We start from the raw sequence: 25,651 nt of genomic DNA, 5'->3' as shown, positions 1-25,651 counted from the left end.
TTAATCACAGGAAAAAAACATCATTACAAAGACTGCGTCCACTTTGTAGCTCATAATACGAATGTTAAAACAGTTTCTAAGATTGTCCTAAAGCAACCCATTCATTTCCCAACATGAGGTTCTTAGTCATGAAAAGAATGCGTTGGCAGAAGATGTACAATGGTCTGTAATTCAACTGACTCTTCAATTTAATATTTGAAAATTATTCACTTTCGGCCGTGAGCTATATTGTGTGACAGAGCCCCTGATTGCTCACTTAGCCATGCACTCTTAGCCAATTTAGCCCTAAGCACTTTTCAATAATTCATAATTCCTTAAATGCGTAAATCCCTTGCCCACATTTAGAAGGATAATTTGTGACTATAACTACATTAAATTTCTCACGTTTGCTTATCACAGAACGGCAACATTCAAGACACCAGCTTTCCTCCCCTCTCATTATTATTCTATTGAATAATATATTTTTAATTTAGAATAATCATTTCACAAACAACATTTGCTTATTTTAACTTATTGTTACAATTGTTAAAGTAGCTTTCTTTTCTCCTTGTGTTACACAGCAAGAAATGAAATTAATTATTAACAATTACCTTTAATTTAAAAAGAGTCATGTCCTCATAAGCCACAGTTTTGGAATGAATAAATGATAAAAGCAGATGAATAATATATTGTATCAAACAATCAGTAATTTAGAAAACATCTAGCTGGGCACGGTGGCTCACACCTGTAATCCCAGCACTTTGGGAGGCCGAGGTGGGCAGATCACCTGAGGTGGGAAGCTCAAGACCAGCCTGACCAACATGGAGAAACTCCGTCTCTACTAAAAATACAAAATTAGCTGGGCATGGTGGTGCATGCCTGTAATCCCAGCTACTTGGGAGGCTGAGGCAGAAGAATCGCTTCGACCTGGGAGGCGGAGGTTGTGGTGAGCCGAGATCGCACCATTGCACTCCAGCCTGGGCAACAAGAGTGAAACTCTGTCTCAAAAAAAAAAAAATCTTTAAAACTCTTAGGATAAAATGATAAGTAAGGCATCTCTTTAGGAACACAATGGATCCAATTAAAAAAAAAAGTCTGACTTTTTAAAAAATTTTATAACACAAGTTAATGGGTCTCCTGTTCTGACACTTAGAGCCCACGGGAATTAGCTTAAAGGTATCTCTCAAGCTATTTATAAGACAATCTCAAAGTAGATCAGAGATATTTTCATTCTTCTCTCTTCTACTTTTCTCTATAAGTTTTTGTGATATTATGTTTAGACTTTGTAGTCGCTTTGTGCTATTTTACATGAATGCAACTCTGATAATGCTTTCTCAATATCAGAATTATGCTAACTCATTTCTATATTGGTACAGAGCAGTCATTTGTTGGTGTTATTTCTCTAAGAGAACAATGTTGCTTCAAGGAGATAATCATATGGCACTACTAAACATGTAATTTTTTGATGCAAAAAAATTCTACCATTCTGAAAATAAAAAAGCAGATAATAGATTGCAAAAAATAATTGCAAAGGATATGGAAAATAACGAGTAAATAACTATAATTTTAACAAATCTGAAAAACTAATTAGAAAAAAGGACAGAAAAGCACACAATAGAAAATTGGGGGAAAAACATATAAATAGGCAATTACAGAAGTGGAGAGAAAAATAGCTAGTAAAAGCTCTTTAACTTCTCTAGAAGGCAAGGAAATGAAAATAGAATTTAAAATGAGATACCATGTTTCATCATGTGATTCAATATGAAAGAAAAATCAAGGAGGAAAGAAAGGAAGAAAGGAAGGAAGGGAGAAGTAGGAGAAGGGAGGAAGGAAGGGAGGGAGGGAGGGAAGAAAGGAAGGCAGGGAGGGAGGGAGAAAAGGGAGGGAGGGCGAGAAGGGAGGGAGGGAGATACCTCCATTGTTTCTGGAGATTCAGGGATTAAAACAGGGCATTTTTATTCACTGCTAGTAAAATATGTGTTGTTATACATATTTTATAAACTCTTTAGACTACTGTTAAACATTTCCACTTTGAGGAATAGAAATAAGAATGTTGAAGTATAGACTACAGCATTGTCTTGCTGGGTGAGAGCAAACAGTAAGAAATTTGAATTATTAACAGGGGAACAAACCACTTAGTAAATGATTTTATAGCCAACCATAGATTATTATATAGTCATAAAAAATAACGAGTTAGAGCTTGATTAATTAAACTAAAGGAATTTCTAGTATCATGTTAAGCCAGAATAATAATTGTGCATTATGTTATCCGATAATATTAAAATAAATTATAACATGATTACTCTGAAAAACGATGTTTTAACTTTGGATATGCAGAATGTATGGATGGGACATGGGAGGTCACAAGATGGAAGAGAGGGAACAGGGATAGAGGCACTAACAAATGCACATTAATAAATAAAATGGTTCTGAAAACAGAAACATCATGCATAATATAATCCTATTGTTATAAAGCTATATGTCTATATCTTATAGATATATAGCTCTATCTATAGATAGATAGATAGATAGCTCTATCTATAGATAGATAGATAGATAGCTCTATCTATCTATAGATAGATAGATAGATAGCTCTATCTATCTATCGATAGATAGATAGCTCTATCTATCTATCGATAGATAGATAGCTCTATCTATCTATCGATAGATAGATAGCTCTATCTATCTATCGATAGATAGATAGCGCTATCTATAGATAGATAGATAGCTCTATCTAGATATATATATCTAGCTATTTCTAGATGGATAGAGCTATATATCTATGCTTGTACATAGGCATTAAAGAGTGGTTTTTAAAGAAATGATGTCCATACTTATCCTTGAATGCTGGAATTTCCAGTGAACTTTGACTTTCTTCCTTAATTTTCTCTGTTGCCTTGAGCTTTTGCAGTGATTAACTTGTATCATTTATACAATCAAGAATAAATAGCTATTTGAATTTTATAAAAATAATGTTTCAAAAACAACACTTATTTTTTAACAACTCTGTATGTGATTTGCTTATGCCTAATGTGTTCGATGATCAGATGTGCAAACAAAATTATCTAGATGTGGAAAGCATCTCTCAAAATCTGATGGCCACTCATGATTGTTTTTTTGTGTGTGTGCATGCATGTGTGTGAAGTAGGAGAGGACGTATCCTCCAGAATAAAGAAGAAGCCACTTCCATTTAACCTATCTTCCCTTAAAGAACTACTTCAGGTGTAGTTTTTATGTTCTAATGGCCTGAACAATGTGCACAGCTATGTACCTTTTTGTAACTTATTAAAATTTATATACAATTTTCTCTGGACATTAATTGAGATAAAAACTGGGGAATTTGCTAAAATTCCAAGTAGATTCAGCTCATTCACACTCGAAAGGTAGTTCTCTCCCTGGCTTGAGTGTAAGTTTCCGAGAAGGGTAAATAGATCTTATGCAGCCCACAGGAGAAAACCTTTTCAAACCACACAAAGAGCAGTCAGGGTAACCAGTTCCTGTTTCCAGAAAGATCCTATGGGACCAAAGAAGAGATTCGCTGGAAAGAGAGTGAGTGAGCAACATGCCAAGGCAATAGTTTTAGTCCCTCTAATTAAGTCTTCCAGAATTTTTTTTTTCCTGCTTGTCTGGAGTTATTTTCATCTAAGAATTATTATTTTTTGGCCGGGCGCAGTGGCTCATGCCTGTAATCCCAGCACTTTGGGAGGCCGAGGCGGGCGAATCACCTGAGGTCGGGAGTTCAAGACCAGCCTGACCAACATGGAGAAACCCCGTCTCTACTAAAAATATAAAATTAGCCGGGCATGGTGTTGCATGCCTGTAATCTCAGCTACTCAGGAGGCTGAGGCAGGAGAATCGCTTGAACCCTGGAGGCAGAGGTTGCAGTGAGCCGAGATGGCGCCATTGCACTTCAGCCTGGGCAACAAGAGTGGAACTCTGTCTCAAAAAAAAAAATTAAAAAAGAAGAATTGTCATTATTTTTTATTCTCAGTGCTTAATCCTGGGCCAGGTATTTAGTAGACATTAAATACACACATATCAAATGGAACTATTTAGCTGAATTCATCTTTTGTTTTTGTGGGGTTTGTATTTTTAAGTAAACGTGTGTGTGCTTGCAATTGTTCCATGTAAATTCACCATTTTGCCATCCTTGAATTTAGATCAGGATAGGTATAAATACAACAAATGTGTGAGGAGGAAAATGCATATTGAAATTTGAATGAAACAAATAGAAGTCATGACATTGTCCTCTTTTCTATCATCAAATAAAACATAATTGGATTGTGGGGGAACCCTAAATTAGAATCATTTTAATATGTTTGGGGAATTCAAACAAATAAAAATGTGTATATCCAATGGAAATTTTCATAACTTGCTCTTAAATCCAGCTACTTAGTTCTGAATTATATCTTATAAAATAGGTATGCCAATATACTTCTTCTTTTAAAAATAAATGAGCATATTTTAACTCAACACAAACTTTGTGTTATTTGGGTAGTTTTGTGCAGAACAACCAACTGCAATTTCCAGTGTCAATCAATTCTCTTTTCTAAGGCTTTAATGAAGACATTAAATAGCACCTGAATTCATAGAAGCCCTGGCAGCACTGATTCTGTCTCATATTCTTTGACATTTTATCACAGTGATTGATTTATTCGTTGCCCTCTAGTCTTTTTCTGTAGCCTGGCAAGCCTTTTTTCTCTCTTTTATGACATGATCCAAAATAAGTCCTTTCAAATTAACTTGTGGAAATCAAATTTCATGGAACATGTTTACTAAAGGTCACGTTTATGAAATGTTCTATAATTCTTTTACTATTTGGATTTATATTGAGGAAAACTGAGTTAGGATAATTACTATATTAAATACACCAGACATGCTTGTTGCTCACAATTATTCATTTAATTGGGCTCTTTTTAAAACTGTATTTCAAGTATTAGAACATCAGGTACATAAAGTGCTAATTTCCAGACATGTCATATCATCATAGTTTTATAAAAATCTGCCTCATATATACTTCCTTACCTGTGATATCCATAAAATATATAAATTTTTTCAAATAGATTTTAAAATGTAGCTAACATAGTTTTTAATGAAAAAGAGATCATCGAAAAAGTATGTCATATTTAATGAATATGTCATTGCAGTTTGAGAGCATTGTTTACTGTTTGTTTTGGATTCACTTGCTCTAAAAACCTCAGAGAGATGTACCTCTTAGCCGCCTAGAGGGTCTCAAAGTGTTGGTGTTACAGGAAAGGGGTCCTGATCCAGACCCCAAGAGAGGATTCTTGGATCTCACACAGGAAATAATTCAGGGCAAGTCCACAGTGCAAAGCAAAAGCAAGTTTACTAGGAAAGTAAAGGAATACAAGAATGGCTATTCCATCAACAGAGAAGACTCAAGGGCTGCTGGTTGCCCATTTTTATGGTTATTTCTTGATGATATGCCAAACAAGGGATGAATTATCCATGCCTCCCCTTTTTAGACCCTTTAGAGTAACTTTCTGACATTGCCATGGCATTTGTAAACTGTCATGGAACTGGTGGGAGTGTAGCAGTGAGGATGACCAGAGATCACTTTCATCGCCATCTTTGTTTTGGTGGGTTTGGGCTGGCTTCTTTACTGCAACCTGTTTTATCAGCAAGGTCTCTATGACCTGTATCTTGTGCCAACCTCCTATCTCATTCTATGACTTAGAATGCCTTAACCATCTGGGAATGCAGCCCAGTAGTTCTCAGCCTCATTTTACCTAGCTCCTATTCAAGATGGAGTTGCTTTTGTTTACACACCTCTGACATTTCCCCACTCTGCAACCTAAGGGTTGCAGAGAGGATTCATCTTCTGTAACTTCTTCAGGCTGAATAGGGATAATGATATTCCTGCCTAACAGTGAGGGTCTCTTGTGTTCAGGGTAGAGAAGAGCTCAGTATAAAGCATTAGTATGGAGACAGCCATTCATGACTCATGATTTCTGACAAGAAGTGACATCTGGAAGATTAGTAAGTGTTCAGTTTAAGAAAACACTTAATAAGCTTGTCCTGCATTCTTCCATAAAGAGTACAATGGCAATATATTTCACAATAGTAAAGCAAAATAAGTAAAATTGTCCCAAGTAAACTAAGTAAGAAGGCTTTCCATGAACTGCGCAACTGTTGGAACCAAGTTGTTATTGGGTTGCTAGCCAATTCCAGTGTGCCCAGAATTAGAATACTGATTCAGATTTTTATATTACCCACCCCTCTTGTTTCTTCTGTGTAGTAGCCAGAGATGACTGTTTGGTTCATGGGAATAAGCAGGGTTTGCCTAAATTGCAGAAAAAAACTAAAACAACTGTTGAGACTAGAATTTAATAATGAGTGTACCATAGTTCTTGAAACATAATATTCCTCTCTCCAGTTCCCAATTTTTTGATTATTTTTATAAAGTGCAGCAAGAATAATTATTTCACATAAGTTCTTTTTAAATTGGCTTATTGGAAATCTGTTCCATAGAAGGAACATCAGATAAGGACTTTTTTAAAGCCAAGCCCAGCCATGGGCTTGTACCCTTAAATGCCTATGAGTTGAGTAAATTCCTCTCTTCTTGGGTTTCCAAGATAACTTAGGGCTCCAGGACCTGTTAGAATGTGACATTACTTACCATAGGTCAGAAACCCTGTACAGGGACTGTACAGGCAAGGTATGAGACCAGTTCCCAAGGGGCTTTTATTGGCTCTACAAGTCAAATTTGATTCCTTAAAGATAAGCATGCCATTACAGTTAAAGCCTTGGTAAAACAACCAGTTTCTCCAATTGTGTCCTGTTTCAAAAGAAAAGAGATTCTTATTGCACTTATGCAAATAACTATATTGCCATTAGTTAAGAATGCTCACAAATAGTTTCCAAATTCTGGAGAAATCAGGTAGAGAGAAACAAAAGCTCCAAATTTTGTTCACAGGAGTATACCTTAATTAATTGCTACAAGCTGTAAAGAGCTCAAAAGGAAAGTTTTCTTGACTCTGAAAAACAAAACATAGGATTAGCAATGTTTTAAGCAGTTAGACCTCTATTAGTTTAGTCCATGCAATTAACTTGTTTGATATTCATCAACATTTCAGCTCTCTATGAGAGTCTTGAATGTTTTCCCTCTATTGTGATGTTACAATCTCCAAAATTATCAGAAAATCTGCATTTAAGTACATCTGTTAAGAGTTCTATAGCTGACTATAAACCAACCTTCTAAAGAGAACCAAAACAAGACAACACGTGTCTGTGGATGACAAAAAGTCTTAGGACAGCCAATGTTAAAGTCACAATTGAAAAGAAAATTTGGTTACTTCTGTGGCATATAACAATTTTACATAACAATTATAACACTTAATAATATACACTAAGTCATATCAGAATTATAGGAGTTTCCCGTTATTTTGGAACATATACGAGTAACACATTTGTACAAATATAGCACAAAGAAAGCCAAACACTGTTTCATATATGATAATGTTTCCTGTTCGATTTTTTAACTCCCTAAATTTTATATACTCTAAGACCCTCCTAAGTTGGGCCTCTAACCCAAGGCTGGTCAGGTGTCCTTGCATTTTATTAAGAGGGGCCTCTAACCCACTCTGTCTTAGAAGAGACTCTAACTCCTGTAAGTTGGGCCTCTAACCCAATCTCATTCTTTACCCAGGTACCCCACCACTTACCAAAAGTCAGCTGATCAGTGCTGCAGCCTATTTCCTTTGGTTTTGGAGGTGGGGGGGTCTCCTCAGTATCATCTCTTCCGTGGTTCACAGAAAGATGTTACTGGACCCCATCACTTACCCAAAGTTAGCCATCGGGTAGGGGGTTTCCACTGTCTAGTCGCTTCTGTGGTTACCAGATAGATGTTACAGGAAACGGGCCCCAGTCCGGACCCCAAGGGAGAGTTCTTGGATCTTGCACAAGAAATAATTCAGGTTGAGTTCACAGTGCAAAGCAAAAGCAAGTTTACTAGGAAAGTAAAGGAATAAAAGAATGACTACTCCATAGACAGAGCAGCCCTGAGGGCTGCTGGTTGCCCATTTTTATGGTTATTTCTTGATGATATGCTTAACAAGGGTGGATTATTCATGCCTCACCTTTTTAGACCATATAGGGTAACTTCCTGATGTTAGCATTTGTAAACTGTCATGGTGCTGGTGGGAGTGTAGCAGTGAGGATGACCAGAGGTCACTCTCATCACCATGTTGGTTTTGGTGGGTTTGGGCTGGCTTCTTTACTGCAACCTGCTTTATCAACAAGGTCTTTATGACCTGTGTCTTGTGCCAACCTCCTATCTCATCCAGTGACTTAGAATGCCTTAACTGTCTGGGAGTGCAGCCCAGTAGGTCTCACCGTCATCTTACCTAGCTCCTATTCAAGATGGAGTTGCTCTGATTTACAAACCTCTGACAATAGAAGATATTATTTGCTGGATGATCTATTGTATGGTTTCTAGGACTGGAATACTAAGACATGCCTCATTGTATGTCTTCTTAACACCTTGGATTTTTTTTAAAGATATCTGAAGGCCAATGTTAAATAAATACATATTATATGGGAAAGAAAGATCATGGAGGGATTTCAGCACCCTCTGCTTAATTTATGATCCATTTCATTAATAAAGAAAGTGACTTATTGGGGGCTAATACTCTATTTAATGAACAGACCACCTGTTGGATAGGAGGTGGTTTGCTTTGAGGAGCAGGTTATCCTGATAAGGAAAGTCAAGAGACTGGCAACTTTAAAGAAAGCTAGATGTGGTTAAGGAATTATTCAGGGAGACCCAGACAGTCAGATAACAGTTGGACTGCATCACAAAAGGAACAAAGCCTTTATGGTGGGGGGAAAGGTGGTTTCTGTGTCATATTTTCTAAGATGTATCAGATCTCGTTCTATGTTAAATAAAGCAAAGAGAGTTCAAGTAGATACCCAAGTAGAGACAGTAATATGTGTGTAAAAAAACATCAGTTTTAGTGTCAGAGGATCTGGGTGTTCACAAAAAGAGCCAACCTCTGTAAAATATTTAAAGAGATTTATTCTGAACCCAGTATGAGTGACCACAGCCTAAGGCACAATCTCAAAGGGTCTTGAGAACATATGCCCAAGATGAGTGGGTTATTGCTTGATTTTATGTTTTTGGGAGGCATAAGACATCAATCAATACATGTGAGGTATACATTGGTATGGTCCAGAAAGGTGGGGCAACTAGAAGTAGGATGAGGGACTTACAGGTCATAGGTGGATTCAAAGACTTTCTGATTGGCAATTGGTTGAAAGAGTTATTATGTAAAAATCTGGAACCAATAGAAAGGAGTGTAGGATTAAGCTAAGAGTTTGTGGAGACCAAGGTTTTTGTTATACAGATAAAGTCTCATAGGTGGCTGCTCTCAGAGACAACAGATGGCAAATGTTTCCTACTCAAATCTTTAAAAGTTGCTGGACTCTCAGTTCATCTCTGTAGGATTGGGAAGGTCTTTAAGGGAAACGATCTAGTTATGTTAATAGAGATTCTTTACAGATGCAAATTTCCCCCAACAAAAGACTTCTTTGCAGGTCCATTTCAAAAGATGGCAGAGAATCATATTTTAGGGTAAAGTGTTTTGACATCCTTATTTGTCTGTCACGTGATATTATGCCAGAGTCAGGTTGGAAAGTAAGCCAAATTATATAGGGTTAAATAAAACTCGCTTGATAAGACATTATGGTTTGTAGGGTGTGACTTCCCAGTTCCCTTAGATAGGAATTTGGGCAAGAGAGAAAAAAGGTCAGAATTTAGTTCTCATGGGTCTAATTACCAAATTTATCATTTATATTAGCCATGATATTTAGCCATTCTGAACTTCATTTCAGAAGTTCAGGAAAATGAAGATAGTCAAATCTAACTCACAGGTGAGAATGTAAGTTAAATGGCACAGCACATATGGAAAATCCTTTAACAAATGCTAGTTTCCTAATAAAAAATGCAAATGTTAACTGTAATTGTAGTTGCCTGAATAATCTAAGGGAAGAGAAGTCATCATTCTTTTTAAACAGTATTTGGAGCTTTTTCTTGAATAACCCAAGATAGATATATAGATATTACAAAAGAAGATATAGATAGATTTAAAAAAAAGAATACACACACACACACACACACACACACACACACATATATACATTATTTCCCTCTATTCAAATATAAACTGGGTGGCAGCTTAAAGACTAGTTTTAAGACATACATATAATTTACTTTCGTTGCTCTTCCATATCTACTGGGAAATCCAAAGCCCTTCCCTAGATTTCTGTGAATTCCCAGAGGCTTACATTCTCCGTTTTTTATTTAGCCCTTCTTGCTCACCTCTCATTTTCACCTGAGTTTCACCTCTAGTGTCTGGGCCAAGATTTGTACCATAGTCCCTCAAAAGCACACTAACAACAAGGTATGTGTGTGTAGTGTGCTTGAATGAAGTTGATGAGACTTTAATGAGCTGTGAGTATAAATAACCTTTAATTAACTTTGTTACCCAAATATTTATTAATCTTGTGATCTATGTGCAAGACTGGTAATACTAGTTTTAACCTCTGTCCTTTACTTCTCAAAATTTGTTACCTATTTGAAAAATAAAATATTATTCTTTTTTTTCTTCCATACCCTATTTTCTTGCTCTGAGTATTCTCAATATTCAAAACTTCACCTACAAGTATAAAGATTTATGCGTTTCGTAGAGCTAGTAAAAAGAACTGGCTTTACTCATTTCATAAAATCACTTGAAAGGCTCTTTAAGGATGTAAAATCAAGTTCGGAATTTTCAGATGACAATAGATTTGAACCATCTTACTACAAATATTTGTTTGTTTTTCTCTTGTCTGTTTGTTGCCATAAGATAGCTTATAATTTTATAATGTCTCAATCATAAATAACTTTTCTTCATAAAATTCTTGAACTAGTATTGATATGGACAGGAGACAGTGAAATACTGGGTAGAAGAGGGTGGGTGCCTGGCGAGGGTTCCACCCTCAATCCTGGACCTGGGGACCAAAATGAAAACTTTCCATCTCTTTTTTCACACCCGAATGTTGCCATTTCCAAAACCACTCTGGCCCACCCCGCCCCCCACCCTGAACCCATAAAAATCCTAAGCTCCACTGGCAGAAGAGCAGAGCGGAGGGGCAGAGGAGAGAAGAAAAGAAGCAGCTGGACGTCGAAGAGAAGCAGCTTGACTTCAGAGGGACGGCTTGATGGTAAGACGTCAAAGAAGAGTTTGGCCAGGGATGGCCACACTCCAGGGGAAGATTATTTTCCCACTCCATCCCTTTTCCAGCTGCTTCCCTTCCTGCTTAGAGCCTCTCCCCCCACTCAGTAAAATCCTCCATATACACTACCCTTCTATTTATTCCTGTGACCTGATTCGTCCTGGATGCCACACAAGAACTCGGGTACCAAGAGGGCAGGGTGTAAAAGGCTGTCACCTAGACCCTCCAGTGAGCTGGTTTAACACTTAGCCATCTGAGGACAGCAAATGCCAAATAAGCACTGATTGTAACATATGCCCTCGTGGGATCTGGGGTTCGTAGATACCCTTTCTGGAGCAGCAGGGCTAAAAGAACATTGTAACATGCTTGGACGCTGCCGCAGGGCCCGCACAGAGCCTGCTCCCACCAGGAAGGAATAACCGGCCAGTTCCAGCATTTGTTTGCCCCACTTCGTGCACCCACTCACCTAAGTGCTCCTTATCCGGTGAGGGGTTCAGAGCTGCAGGCTGAGTAAGTGAGCCACCCTTTCACGATTCCCGCGAAGGGGTCAAGGGAAATATCCTGTCTCAGTATCATGGTTAATTTTATGTGTCAACTTGATTGTGTTAGGAGATAAACAGCTGATAAAACATTATATCTGGGTGTATCTATGAAGGTCTTTCTGGAAGAGATTAGTATAAGAATCAATGGAAGGATTTAACAATATCTCCTCTCACCAACGTGGGCAGACATCATCCGAACTATTGAGGGCTCAGATAAAAAAAAAAGTGCAGAGGAAGGGTGAATTTGGACTTTCGTCTTGAGCTGAATGTAAGCCCCCAACCCCCAACCTGGTTTTCAGGCCTTGGGCCCCAGACTGAGAGTTACATCATTAGCTCCACTGGTTCTCTGGTCTTCAGACTAAGAGTGAATTACATAACCAACTCCCCTGGCTCTCCAGCTTGTAGACGGCATATTGTGGAACTTCTCAACCTCTATAATAATGTGAGTCAATCCCCATCATTAATTTTTTTGTATATATCTCCCCATATATCCTATTGGTTCCGTTTTGCTGGAAAACTCTAACACAACCAGTACAAATTTATTGCCTTGCAGATTGCCTTTCTTATACTAAAAAAATTAGGTTACAATTGTTCTAGTTATGTCCTTTAATGCTTTTCCTTTGTACATATTTATATTGGTTGAAATATGCAATGATTTTACTTTTCAGCATACTAGTTTCATTTCTTGATCTATCATCTCTATATCTTTGTCTACATATTTGTTATAAAACGGGTACAAACATATTGAGTTCCTATTGCAACCATTAATAATGTGTTGGCTTATTTATATTATTTTGAGTAATAATGCTATGTGGGCTTAAAATGTACTTTATTCGAATTCACTTGAATTCCCATTCTTCTTTAAAAAGGGTTTCATAACCTTGGCTCAAATTCTGCTTTAGTAACTCACCATCAGTGTAACTTCTGACAATTTACCTAACCTACCAAACCCTGAAATTATCTACTTTGGACACTTGATGTTATAGTGCAGTCAGTGCTTATAACAACTTAGTTCCTCTTACATTCTTTCTTGTCCATCCTTTCTCTTATTTTTTTTTTGTTCATCTCTTCCTTTCCTTTTCCTATAAATTCTTCAACTTTTTTTTTTTTTCTGAGGTAGAGCTTGTGCCTCACCCTCCTATGTAGCTGGATTACAGATTTGTGCCACCATGCCTGGTTAATTTTTGTATCATTTTAGTAGAGAGAGAGTTTCACCATGTTGGCCAGGCTGTTCTCGAACTCCTAGGCTCAAGTCATCTGCCCCGTCTGGCAGCAGTGCTGACATTACAGGGATGAGTCACGGTGCTTGGCAATTCTTCAACTTTTGAGAATTTTGAGTCTCATATCTTTCACAAAGTCTGTCTTGATAATCAAAGCTATCTACCATTTGAAAAGTGTTTCCTAGAACTTACCCAATTCTTCATTATAAACTGAATTTAGTGTCTTCATTGTCCTGTAAGTGTGAATTTTCTTCTCTCAGTAAGATTATAGTAAGGTAGTAAAATATCTTGCTATGGGGCTTGTCATAAATATCTTTATATAATTCTCCCTTTGTCAAGGGCAGTATGTTGCATATTGAAATCACCCAGTAAATATTTCTTATTGTTTTTATTTGTATTTACTTTGAAAATATGTGATGAATTTCATGAATAGTGTTCATTGATAAAGTTGTATGAAAATCACTGGCCCAAAGTGCTCAGGTCATTTCCCATATCTGAGACAGCTTTGCAAATATGTATCATTTTGATAACCAGTCTGATCTGAGAAAATTAAACCATGTCATTCAAAACATGTCCTCCCCAAATTTAAGAAACATTAGGTCAATCTCCTGGTTAAATAATAGCTGTATGTTTTAGTCGATTTTGAAATATTATGTAATCATTTGAAATTATAAGCTTCTGGCCCACAACTTGACTGACAAATACCTGTTTCATTATTTTTAACTAGCCTTTGTTGGACTACATATCTCCAAAGACAAAAGAAAGATAAAAGTTGAAATAATCCAACAGTTATCCTACACAAAAGTATGACAAAATTACCGTTGCAGAAATTGAACTCATCAAGCCTGAACTTTTGACTTTGAACAATTACATGGAAGAGTGCCACCATGGTGAACTGTCAGACCTGTACAGCATCACAGCCAACTCTATACACAAACAAGGGTGGGCTGTATTCTGACCATTATTGGAATAAATTATCCTGATTACCTAATGTCTCTTCACACCCACTAAATTATTTATTATTATTATATTTTTACACTGCCATCAAATTAAAGTTGCTAAAACACAACTTTGCTCATGTTCAAAATTTCTATAGTGTGCCTCAACAATCACTAACTAATCTTCAGAATTAATTACCTACTAATTTGTTTTTGACATATTTATAAACTTAATTTCTTATCATAACTCATGCCAAACCATCCTGCTCTGAATACTCACAACTTTCTATGACCTTTGATTTTCTGCCTTTTATAAACCAGAGCGCCATTAGTTCGGTCTGAATGAGTAATTTCCTCTGTAAGCAGCAGGACCCTCAGAGCTTATATTCTTCAAGGCATTGGCTAATGGGGGTTCCTCACACACAGCAAGTCTAACTGTGGCTCAGGCTTTCCCCTAACTGATGTGCCAGCAGCAGATTTCATGTTTTTCTAGGCTCACCAGGAGATAGAATTTGCTTATATTAGTCTGTTATAAAATTTGTCATTGTTTGTTATTGAGAGGTAGAATAATCAAAGTAAAATCTTCTTATATTCAATGGAGGGAGTGGAATTGTCCTGAGCATGAAAGAAGATGGAAAGCACCTTGTGAAATCATACCACAGTTGTTCATAAGCACAAGAACTTTATAAATTCCCAGAAGCGAATGCTGACTGCTGGGAGCTGAGCTCCAGTTTCTTAGGTAGAAAGAAAATCCAGTGAAACCATGATGAACTCTGCCTCTGTATCTGTAAGAAGAGGTGTTCTGTGGGAACCTGGGTTGTAATTATTGTTCTAAAATAACAATTTTCCCAAATCGTACCTCTGTTATAAGCAGCTGTTCTCTCACATTATTCTACAAAAGGCATATATTTCTATACTTTCATTAATCTTTTACCTTTTCTAGAAATCTCATGTCTGCCCCCTCCTACAATCAAATCTGACTCATTCTTCAAGGCTCAGCTGCAGACTAAACTTTATACAAAGCTTTTCCTTATAATCTTTTTAATCTTATGATCGTCAGTCCTTATTTGTTATTGTTTCCTCATAATTCTATTTAATTGCATCTGTCTTTGAGTTGTTCATTTCAAATAGGTTGGAGGTTTTTCCTCAGTTAGATCTTCAGCTGATTTAGAGAATGACTTTATCTATTACAGGACTCATGCAGCAAGTCAGGGCTCCACAATGCTTTAGATGGAGGGCAAGCCCTACAATTAGAGTGTCCCGGTTGAACCTTAGAGCTATCAATTGTTAGCTGGCTATGTGAAACTGTGCAAGGTATTAATCTCTGTTCCTTATCTGCACAGTGAAGATAATGAAACCTCCCTCAAAGGATTTTATAAAGATTACATAAGTTATTCCAGATAAACATTTAAATAGTGCTTGGCATGTAAGATAGGAAGTCTAAATGTTAGCTATTCTTATTAATATTGATTTTTGTCAGTTTTACTTTACCTTTAAATGAGGTAATCACTGTCATTGAACACAAAGAAAAAAAATACATATATATATGCTCTGCAAGTATCTACATAAATAAATGAGCAACCAACCCTGAGAGTCAAGAATTCTGGGAAGGAGGTTATATAACCCTTGCATGTGTGCCTTTACTTTGATAGCAATTAGCAGTACAATGTAGTTAGTGTAAAAGCACAAATCAGACAGAATGGGTTCAAATATCAGCTCTGTTAGTGGTGTTTACCCAAGGAAATAATTTATGGAGAATTTCAAATGTATACAGAAGTAGATGGAATAGTATACTCCCATCTACCAATTAAGCTTCATGTTTAATTTTTGGAATGATTCTGTATCAAATAACACCCTCCAAGGAGAAGGGAAGAAATGTGTTAGCTAGCAATGCATTAAAATTTAGAGAACTATATAGATTCAGAGTAAAGTATTATTTTACTTATGGAGAAAAATCTCTTAAAATAGAACCCTCAAAACATCATATATCTCCATTTGGCAGAGTGCGTAGCCATCATTTGTTTCTTGGAGAAAAAAATAAAAAGATAAAGCAACAAGTTAAGTTCCAAGGTTTGCTAAAGCAAACCAGAGTAAATAAGCGCATAAAGGTGTATGTAACCTTTTCTGATTTCAGGTTTTATTCTCTCCAATCTCCTATGTATCTTGCTTCTTCAGCTACTATCTTAAATGAGAATATATGAATGAATTTTGGCCTTGCAACTCCTGATACTTTGGATAAATCAAGGCAGAAAATAGAGCTCAGAAAATGTAAAATATTTCTGGCAATAAGCAAAAAAATAACTACAGATTTTTTTTCTTCATATCCTGTGGTATCAAATAATTTTAATTAGCCAGAATTCCCAATTCCTGGATCATTCTCACTCAGGAAATATCTACAGACATTCTAGCCTTGAAACCTTGCTGTTCAATACAGTCACTGCCACAAGGGCCAACCGAATATTTGAAATGTGGCTGATGTGACTGAGGAACTCTTTTTAATATTACTTAATTTTAATTAATTTAATTTTAAAATAAAATAGATTGAATTATTGGAAAAAAATTTAAGCATCTTTGGAATGATTGGGTATGTGAATCTACACTTGTAATTGTAAATTTCATGATATTTGATTAGTATTTCCAGTTAAAATTTAGTATCTGGATTAAGATGTGTTCTAAGAGAAGTATTTCATTAACATTGCTGTATTGATTACATGTTATACTGATGGTATTTTGGATACATTGTATTCAACAAAGTGTTACTTATAACAGTCTCACCTGTTTCTCTTTGCCTTTTTTAATGTGGTTACTAGAAAACGTAAAATTATGTATATTTTTTAATATTTCCTAATACGTATTATTTAATTATTAAATATTTCTCGTTGACAATGCTGCCCTGAATAGTTTACAATATAACTGCAAATAAAGTCTGCCAGTTTCTCACTCTCTTCCTTCTTGTTTTTTCCTCCTTGTTTTTTCGTTCTTTCCTAGAGTTCAGATCATCTTTGGCTTTACAGAGCAAACATACTTTCCAATAAACGCGTATGTCATCATACCCAATGACTCGCTGAAATAACCAGACAGTTTACATAAACCAATCAACAGCAGACACATCCAGCATATTTTTAGTTAGTTAAGAATCTGTATGTTTTATGAGTGGACTTTTATTACTGTCCAGATTCAGTCTGAGGCAAAATGGTGATACTAATAGTTGAGTCCTGTTTGTTTCCTTCTACGTTAGTTTCCTCCTTCATGGAAACCCCACCTACCTCCCTGTTGCAGTATCTAGTGTCCTAAGGAACACTTCTCAGAAAGGTCTGCTTAAAATATTATGTTTAAGCAATGGCTTAAAGATAATAGCTTAAAGATCATGTACTTTGACTTAACCTGCCCCCTTATCTGCATTTGCCAATCTTACACACTGTTCTCTATGGTGCTAACAGAGTAATCTGTCTAAACTGCAAATTCATCCACATCACTCTTCCTGCCTAAAAGTACAGAGGAAAAAAACTCAAATGTAGCATAGGAAATAGGCCAGTCCATGAGCTAGGCCTTACCTTTCTTTCACTCCTGGGGCTTCCTGCTTTGCACTTTATGCCCTAATAACACTGAACAGAACAAACATTTCACGCCTCAGTGCTTTATCTCAAGCCATTTCCTTTGCCTGCAACACCCTTTGACTTTTCAAATATGTGCAACTGTTGTAACATAATGATGCAGAATAATCTCTACCTTAGAAATAATTTGTTTGCAAACAAATAAACAAAACAAACAAAAGCTCGATCAAGGTGATCTCAGATAAGGGTGACTTATTTCCAGTATGTAACAGTATATTACAACCCTGAGGGAAAAAAAGTATAAACGAAATTCATCAGAGCTTATTTTTCACTCAGTTCTTCTTTTTCCTTTGCCTGCAGAATGACATTTTTTTTTTCTGTTGCTTCTTTTGGTTTCAAAAGGCCTACAGTGGTGTCAACAACTCCTGAGTCTAAAATAACTTTGAGATCCAGGACCTATTAACCTTCTAGGGCTTTCAGGATTCCAATTCCAAGGATTCCCAAGGGATAATCTGCTTGGGTTAAACTCCCTTTTTCTGTTGGTGAGAAGGTAAAAAAACAACAACCAAAAAATCTCTACATATGGGATTTTGATTAAAGGAAAAATTAGCAACATACCTAGTACATTGTGTTATCTTTGGAAAGAGAGCAATGATTTAAACTACTTACTATGGAAATTATTCCCCACTTATCTTTAATATATGCACTAGAAATTTGGAAAATATACAAAATTGATAGCCAATGGTTAATGCTTTTATTTTTAATTATTTTAAAAATATTATATTTAATAAATAGCATTATATTAATAAATATAAATTACTATATCCAGAAATGGGCAAGTAACCATTAAATATGTATTCAATCTGCAAAACAATATGGATGGGCAGTCAGAGCACATTTCAAGGCCTATGAAATTAGATTCAGAGAGGTTAAATACTTTGTTCAAGTCTTCACATTTAGTATGTAGCACAGCCAAGAGTCAAACATCAATCTGACCATAATTTCTATGCTTTCTTTGAATAGTGGAGTCATTCCCCAATCAAAGAGGCATGTGATCTTGGATCTATGTTGGTAGTAATGTTCTATAGTGACGCATCCCCAAAGATTTAGGGAAAATAAAATAAATTCGTAATAATAGTAATAGAAAAACAGCAAACACTTAACAATGCTCACCAGTTAGCAGACACTCCTTTAAGCATTTTTACATATATTAACTCATTTAATCCTCACAATAAGGCAATAGGGCAGCTTCCATTACTTCCCCTGAGAAGGAAACTAAATCAACTCATAATGGATCACAGATAAGAAATGGAACATAATGTTAAATATCCAAGGAACCCAGAGGCCAGATACTCTTAACTGTAAAATGTGAATATATTAGGAAATACGAAGTTGTATTAATCAGCAGGAAAGTTATGAGCGATGTCCATAACCTAAACATGAAGACAGAGAATCAGAATAGTTACAGAGATTAATTAGAATTGCCTCTTCTAAATGTATTATTTTTCCCAAAAGAGTGTTCTACTGACACAAAAATCCACTTGTCTGAGTATAAGGATAATTTTAAAGATTTGTCACTGAATTTTAGCCTCATACCATTAATCATTCAAATCATATAATTAACCCCCCTTGCTTTGATTCTGTGTTCACCCAGCAAGTTTTAATTACACTGTATTTTCCTACATGGATTTCTCAGCCGTAAGAGACTGTGATATTTAGAGAGATTAAATGTACCCTCTCTAAAATTGTTTGTAATTTCAGATTAACAAATTCTCATTAATGTTACACAACAGTAACGTCAGTTGGTAACGCACTTCTCTATGTGTACTGTCAAACAGAACTTTAATATTCCAATGAAAAGGCTGACCACGATGATTTATGAGAGGTATTTCACCAAGAGCCCAGCTTAAGTCCTTGTGAGAAATTTCAGTGGATGCCATAGCAATACGCAATAACATGTTTGGTTTCTTTTCCCCACTGCTAGAACTAATTGCTAAGCTTTGTCCATCATTTCTTAAAAATCACCCCTGAATGAATCCCATCTTCCTTCCAGTTTGCCATTGCCATTTTGGTGGCTGAGATCATCAATAAATAATACCGTGGACATCACAAGAGGGTCTTCTCTGCTTCTCCGGAAAGCAGAGAAGACCTCCTTTCTCTAGCACACCACTTTGAAAATAAACTTCTAAAATATTGATTGACCCCTTATTCTTTAACAACTCTCCATACTCAGTATGATAAAATGTCAAATCATACAAATTAGTATCTAATCATTATTCTTGAAAAACTCATAGTTTCCAGATAGCAGCTTGTATTTCAGAATCTGTATATATTTTTGTAAAATGGAATGTCTTGATTATTTTCTCAGTTAAGTATACTCAGAAAATGAGAGAAAACATAAAGGATTTAAACATTTTCTGTGATTCTACCACTCAGGCAAAGACTTGTATTTTTGAAGGATATTTAACTTTTTATCTTGTTAATGATTTGTACACCTCCCTTAGTAGTTCTATCTTCAGACCCTTCCTCCATTTTATCTTGGGCTTTGAATTTTTATTCATTTCTAAAATCACCTTTTCTATTAATTGTATTAGAGTTTTCCCATATATGTGACATTATTTTATCGGTGTGACATTCTCTTTTTAATGTTTAAGCTGTTCTTACTGCAGTAAAGACATACACAATTTAAGAGCATGAGATCTGGTGACAAAATTCCTGAGTTTAAAACCTGGCATCTTCATTTACTAACTGAATGTCCTTAGTCTATATACTCCAGTTTTCTCAACTACAAAATGAGAATATTAATATTGATTTGTGGAAAACTTAAATAAGTTAATATATATAAAATTCTTAGAAGAATGCCTGGTACAATGCAAAGATTTAGTCAATTCCATTATTACCATGATAATAGTAATTATAATTATAGGAACTAATGAGAATGGTATTGATATTGTTGGTAATTATGATTGTGATAACATTGACAGTTACAATGATACTCTAAATTCCAGTATCTTTTTTTCCTGTAATTAAACTTTTTTAAAAATGTCTGAACTCAATAGGTGTTTCTTCAATGTGATGTTTCAACTACTTGGGTGCAGGGACTATCATTCCTATGTCACTGAAGATGCCTCAAATTGTATTTTTCCATATAGCAGGTAACTGACAATATAAAAGGGAATATTTATTGCAGTGTTACCTCCCAGTTATTACTCTCAATATTTTTTTTATGTATTAGGCTATTTAGTCCTCAAAAGAATCCAACAAATTAAGTACAATTATTATCGCAGTTTTAGAGATCAAAAAATTAAGACACAGAATTATTAAGTAACTTGGCCAAACTTCCTAGCTAGTTGGTGGCATTGCTCTGGTGTCTAAGCCATTAACCACAGTGATGCTATTTTTTGGTAGTAGATATTTAAGAATTGTTTAAGAAATATTTAGGTGACAGTCTGGCTTTTGTAGTATAGCATTGTATTCTTTTGTAATGGATGATTGTTAGTATATAGCATTAATATATGTACAAAAGTACATATTGTTTAATATTTTAACATTTCCAACATATTTAATAAATTATCTTTCTGCTCTCCAAGTTGTAGCTTTTAAAAACAGTAAAACAAGATTCAGTACTACAGAATCTTTTTTGCTTCCATCAAATGAATACAATTCTAAAACATTTAAAGAGAAAATTAAAAAAGATCATAGCTAATCGAGCAATCTCCTGATTACTTAAAAGCATCAGAGATCCAAATATATAGAAATCAGTCTAGCTTTCCATTTTGCTTTGTTTTGCTTTCTGTCTAAAGGAACATAATTTAACCTGCCAATGACATAGCTTGTCTATAATCTTAACTTTTCTGATTCCACCTGACAGATATTGAAGAGATCAGTGCCACAAATATTTCATTGCAAAGAAAGAAACTAATTGTTCTATCAATTTACAGAGTGACATTTTCACAACAAATACTATTTTGAAGATTTTGCTGCCTGAGCTGTCCAAGGTGCCCTGCTTCTGTTCTCAAAGTATCTAAATCCTACTTAAACTTTCATAGCTCCTCAATCTTCCATGAAGCCTTTCATGATGGCTAGTCACTTCAGACTACTTTTCTGTGAAATCTGTGGTAACATTTCTCCACTGAACTCTTTATGTTTTACTAGGAATTTAGATACAGTTTTGAAGTTCATTATTAATGTGGAGTTTAATCGCTTTAACAAATAATTAGCAATTTATGGTTGAGCAAATTTTTTTCCAAATTTGAATTCTTTGCGTTCTCAACTAGATTCTGTTTCTTTCACAAAAGTCTCATTCATGTAAAGCTGTTTCAGAGAATAACAGACTGGGAATAAAATATATATATATATATATGAGATACACAAGGACAGTAACATTCTCTGGATTAATTCCCAAACAGGTTCATTACAGCAATACCAATTTAGTGTAAGTCTGCTTCTGAAGCTAGGAGTTTCCATCCTAAGCATGGTCTCAGCTATCCTCTACCTCTAGTCAATGCCACATAGCCCATTCACTTTTCTACATCTTGAACCACCTTGCTTTTTACCTTCCATTGTAGTCAGTATTTATCACCATCATGGGAGATGCCATATGGAGGAAGGTTTCCATACTTAAAAACATAATGAGATGTCCCACATACAGATCTTTTCAGACAAAGAATTTGGCCATGAGAGGGTGTGGTGGGCAGCAGGGAAAATAACTCAGGTTAGATAGCATTTTTTTCCCCTTAGGTCTATTCTAGCATCATTCTTCTTCCCTAGTGATGGAAAGAAAAAATAATGAACGCTTGCTATTCTCATGCCTTGGCTTGGGCACTACTGTTTGTTTCCCATCTGGATATTGCAGAGTTCATGTAAAGTTATGAGTACTTCCCTCTCAACCTTATTTGTCATTCTGTATCTTCACAATGGTTTTTTCCCTAGTTCTCAGCTATGGTTGGTTCTCAGTTAACACTGCACTAATTCATTAATAGTACAGCTCAAAATGATAAGCAAGATATGGGCAAAATTGAACGATTGCCAGTTTATTAAAATAAGTAACAGATATCATTTTTATCAGCAGTGTTATGACCTTCAAAGAAAGAGGAGCAGATGAGACTATGCCAGGGCCTGTCCTGAAGCTCCAGCAATTTCTAGAATATTCACCTGGGGCAAACCTGGTCTGCGGCTTATGTGGATTAAATAAAATATTCACATAGACACCTTTGAAAAAAAATCAATTTCAGCATTCTCTTGAAGTGAATAGGAGGCAAATTATTGAGTTCATTTTAAATATCATTCATTTCTCCTATATGTGTACACAGTTGCAGTGCAATCTGAATATATTACATTTAACTTGACAACTGCCTTCTCCACCATAAGCCTTCCTGTACAGTACCAAAGGACTGAACATAACCCACTCTGAGTGTTCCTTTCCTTCCCATCCCTTCATGACATCACCTTGCCTGTAAGTGAGGTGTGTATTGCCTATCAGCCCTGCCAAACAGTTGCATTGGTACAAATTGAGGCTCTACTGCATTGTGCTGAGAAGGCACAGTTAAGGAAATGGAGTTAATAGACATATAATAATATTTCAATTACTTTGATAATGAGACAGGAAAAATTAGAATAGGACAATAACAAATTTAGAACCCAGGACTGAGAGTTTAATTCATTTGTTTGTGTTTCTTGCGAGCTGAGAAAGACTTGAGCATTTTTGACGTGCCCAAGAAGGAATGGCAGTAGCAAATCACTGTCCAGGATATGGCAACCATTAGCTTCTTTTCTGCCTAAAACCCGAGTTAGCTAGAGGAACACAGGCAAGGAAAAGCATAATTTTCTTATTTTCCCTAATCTATACCAATTGCATACTCCACTTAAACAGTTTTAACCAAATCCTTCTTTTTATTAAGCATAGAGGAGAAAAGGTGGTACTGGTATGTAGTACCTATTGCTCCTCAGCTCATATATTTGGTCCCACAAATAGATACTACTTAGACATCTGCTATTGTGAGCAATGACATTGCTAATCTATAAAATGCCTTTGTGAAATTAGGAAAAATGTGCCCATTCCTCAGAGAAGCACCTCCACTCCAGGGAAGACACATTAATTAGCAGAATGTAAGATGGATTTTAGCCCCCATTTAACTCTTTAGTCAGAGCAGTGTCTCCAGAACACCAGCTGTACAACCATATGGAAGACTAGCTAGGAAAGTATGATGGTTTCAATAATTTCTCAAAGGTGAAAATGAAGAAGGTGAGGTGAGTATCCCAGTGCCACCCAAGAAAATAGATTCTGAACTAATATCGTCAAATACAACACTCAATTCTTTTAACAACATTTTACACCACTTCTCTGTACAAAAGGTGGATTCTGTTTTTCATCTAGTTAAATTCCCAGTGTTACTCCCTACTGGTGTTTCCACTCTGAAGCTCACATAATTATAGTGAACATGAATTCCTTCTTATTGGAAGAATTTAACTCTTTTATCTTATTATGTGAAACAAAGCTTAGTAAGAGAAAAAATAAGGCAGTATATCCTAACAGATATATCAAGCGTAAACTCCCCAAAAGAGTGCCGGGGGGAAAAAGCACTATTAATCAAGCAAAGCTAATAGTGTTAGATTTTCTGCAGAAATGAGAATACCATCTCAACAAACTCTTAGTAGTGTCTCAAAAGTGAAAAAATTAGAGGAAGATTTTAATAGGCAGAACAGACAATAGTTTATGGGGCTCAGAGAATAGTTAAAAACTGTTAAAATAGTGGCTCACGCCTGTAATCCCAGCACTTTGGGAGGCCGAGGCGGGCGGATCACGAGGTCAGGAGATCGAGACCATCCTGGCTAAAACGGTGAAACCCCGTCTCTACTAAAAATACAAAAAATTAGCCGGGCGTAGTGGCGGGCGCCTGTAGTCCCAGCTACTTGGGAGGCTGAGGCAGGAGAATGGCGTGAACCCGGGAGGCGGAGCTTGCAGTGAGCCGAGATCCCGCCACTGCACTCCAGCCTGGGCGACAGAGCGAGACTCCGTCTCAAAAAAAAAAAAAAAAAAAAAAAAAAAAAAAAAAAAAAACTGTTAAAATATGATTAAGAATTTCAAAATGGTGACAGCATAACATTAAGCCACCTCATGGCTATACAGGTCACATGCACTGTGAAGCCAGCCTGTTAACAGAGTTTTAGGGCCTGAGCTGAGAATTTTTAATGTAGTTTGTGAAAGTAGAAAACTGGCTAGGATTAAGCACAATGTATATCATGATATTTCTGGATTAGTGGACAGAGTAATCTGAGGATCTTGAAGTGAGCTTTGATGAACAATCTATTAGTGTTGAAAAGTAAGGTGTTTTACTTGGTTTCCAGCCTGAACTTCCTGGATCAAAATTGCTACATTAAGTACCTATGTTATTTTTGCTTGTTTTCAGTATTATTTAGCATAGAAGGAGGAAAGTATTCCTGGCCACAGAATTACTAACACATCTACTGAAACATATTTTGATTTGGAAAGGGGAGTGTTACCTGACCCTCTTGTGGGACTTGCAACAGGAGTGTGGCTTGTTTTTGCCCAGCAACCACACACTCAAACCGCTTACAGGAGAGGGAGCATGTAGATGGGCAGGTGCAGGAGCTGGGGTGAGGGCTTTTGGGCTCTGGCCCCATGGTAGCATCTAGGACAGCTAAGTGTTAAACTAGCTCACTGGAAAGTCAGGGTGACAGCTTTTACACCCTGCACTCTTGGTACCTGGGTTCTTGTCTGGTGTCCAGGAAGAACTGGGTCAAATGGACTTGAAGGATGGGGAGTGCAGGGATTTTACTGAGTGATGAAGATGGCTCTCAGTGGGATGGATGGGGAGCTGGAAAGGGGATGGAGTGGGAAGATGAATGTCCCCTGGAGTTCAGCTGTCCCATAGCCGATCTCCTCTCTGACTGTCCCCAGCTGAATGCCTCTCAATGTTCATATGCTCCTTCTCTGCTGTGCCACTCTGCCATTCTTCTGCTCTGCTGCTCTTCTGTTCCTTTGTTTGTGGAGCTTGGGGTTTAAATAGGCACAGGATAGGGGTGTGGTGGGCCAAAGTGATCTTGGAAAAGGCAACATTTGGGCACAAAAACAGGAATGCCTGTTCCCATTTAGGCCTGCAGGTTTCCAGGCTTGAGAGTGGGCCTTTGCCGGGAAACTTCCCTCTTCTACCCAGTACTTC

Source organism: Homo sapiens, chromosome 2 (assembly GCF_000001405.40).
Source record: "Homo sapiens chromosome 2, GRCh38.p14 Primary Assembly".
In the NCBI taxonomy this organism is placed as follows: Eukaryota; Metazoa; Chordata; class Mammalia; order Primates; family Hominidae; genus Homo; species Homo sapiens.
The sequence above is the reverse complement of the archived record's forward strand: the minus strand, read 5'-3'. Positions refer to the sequence as shown.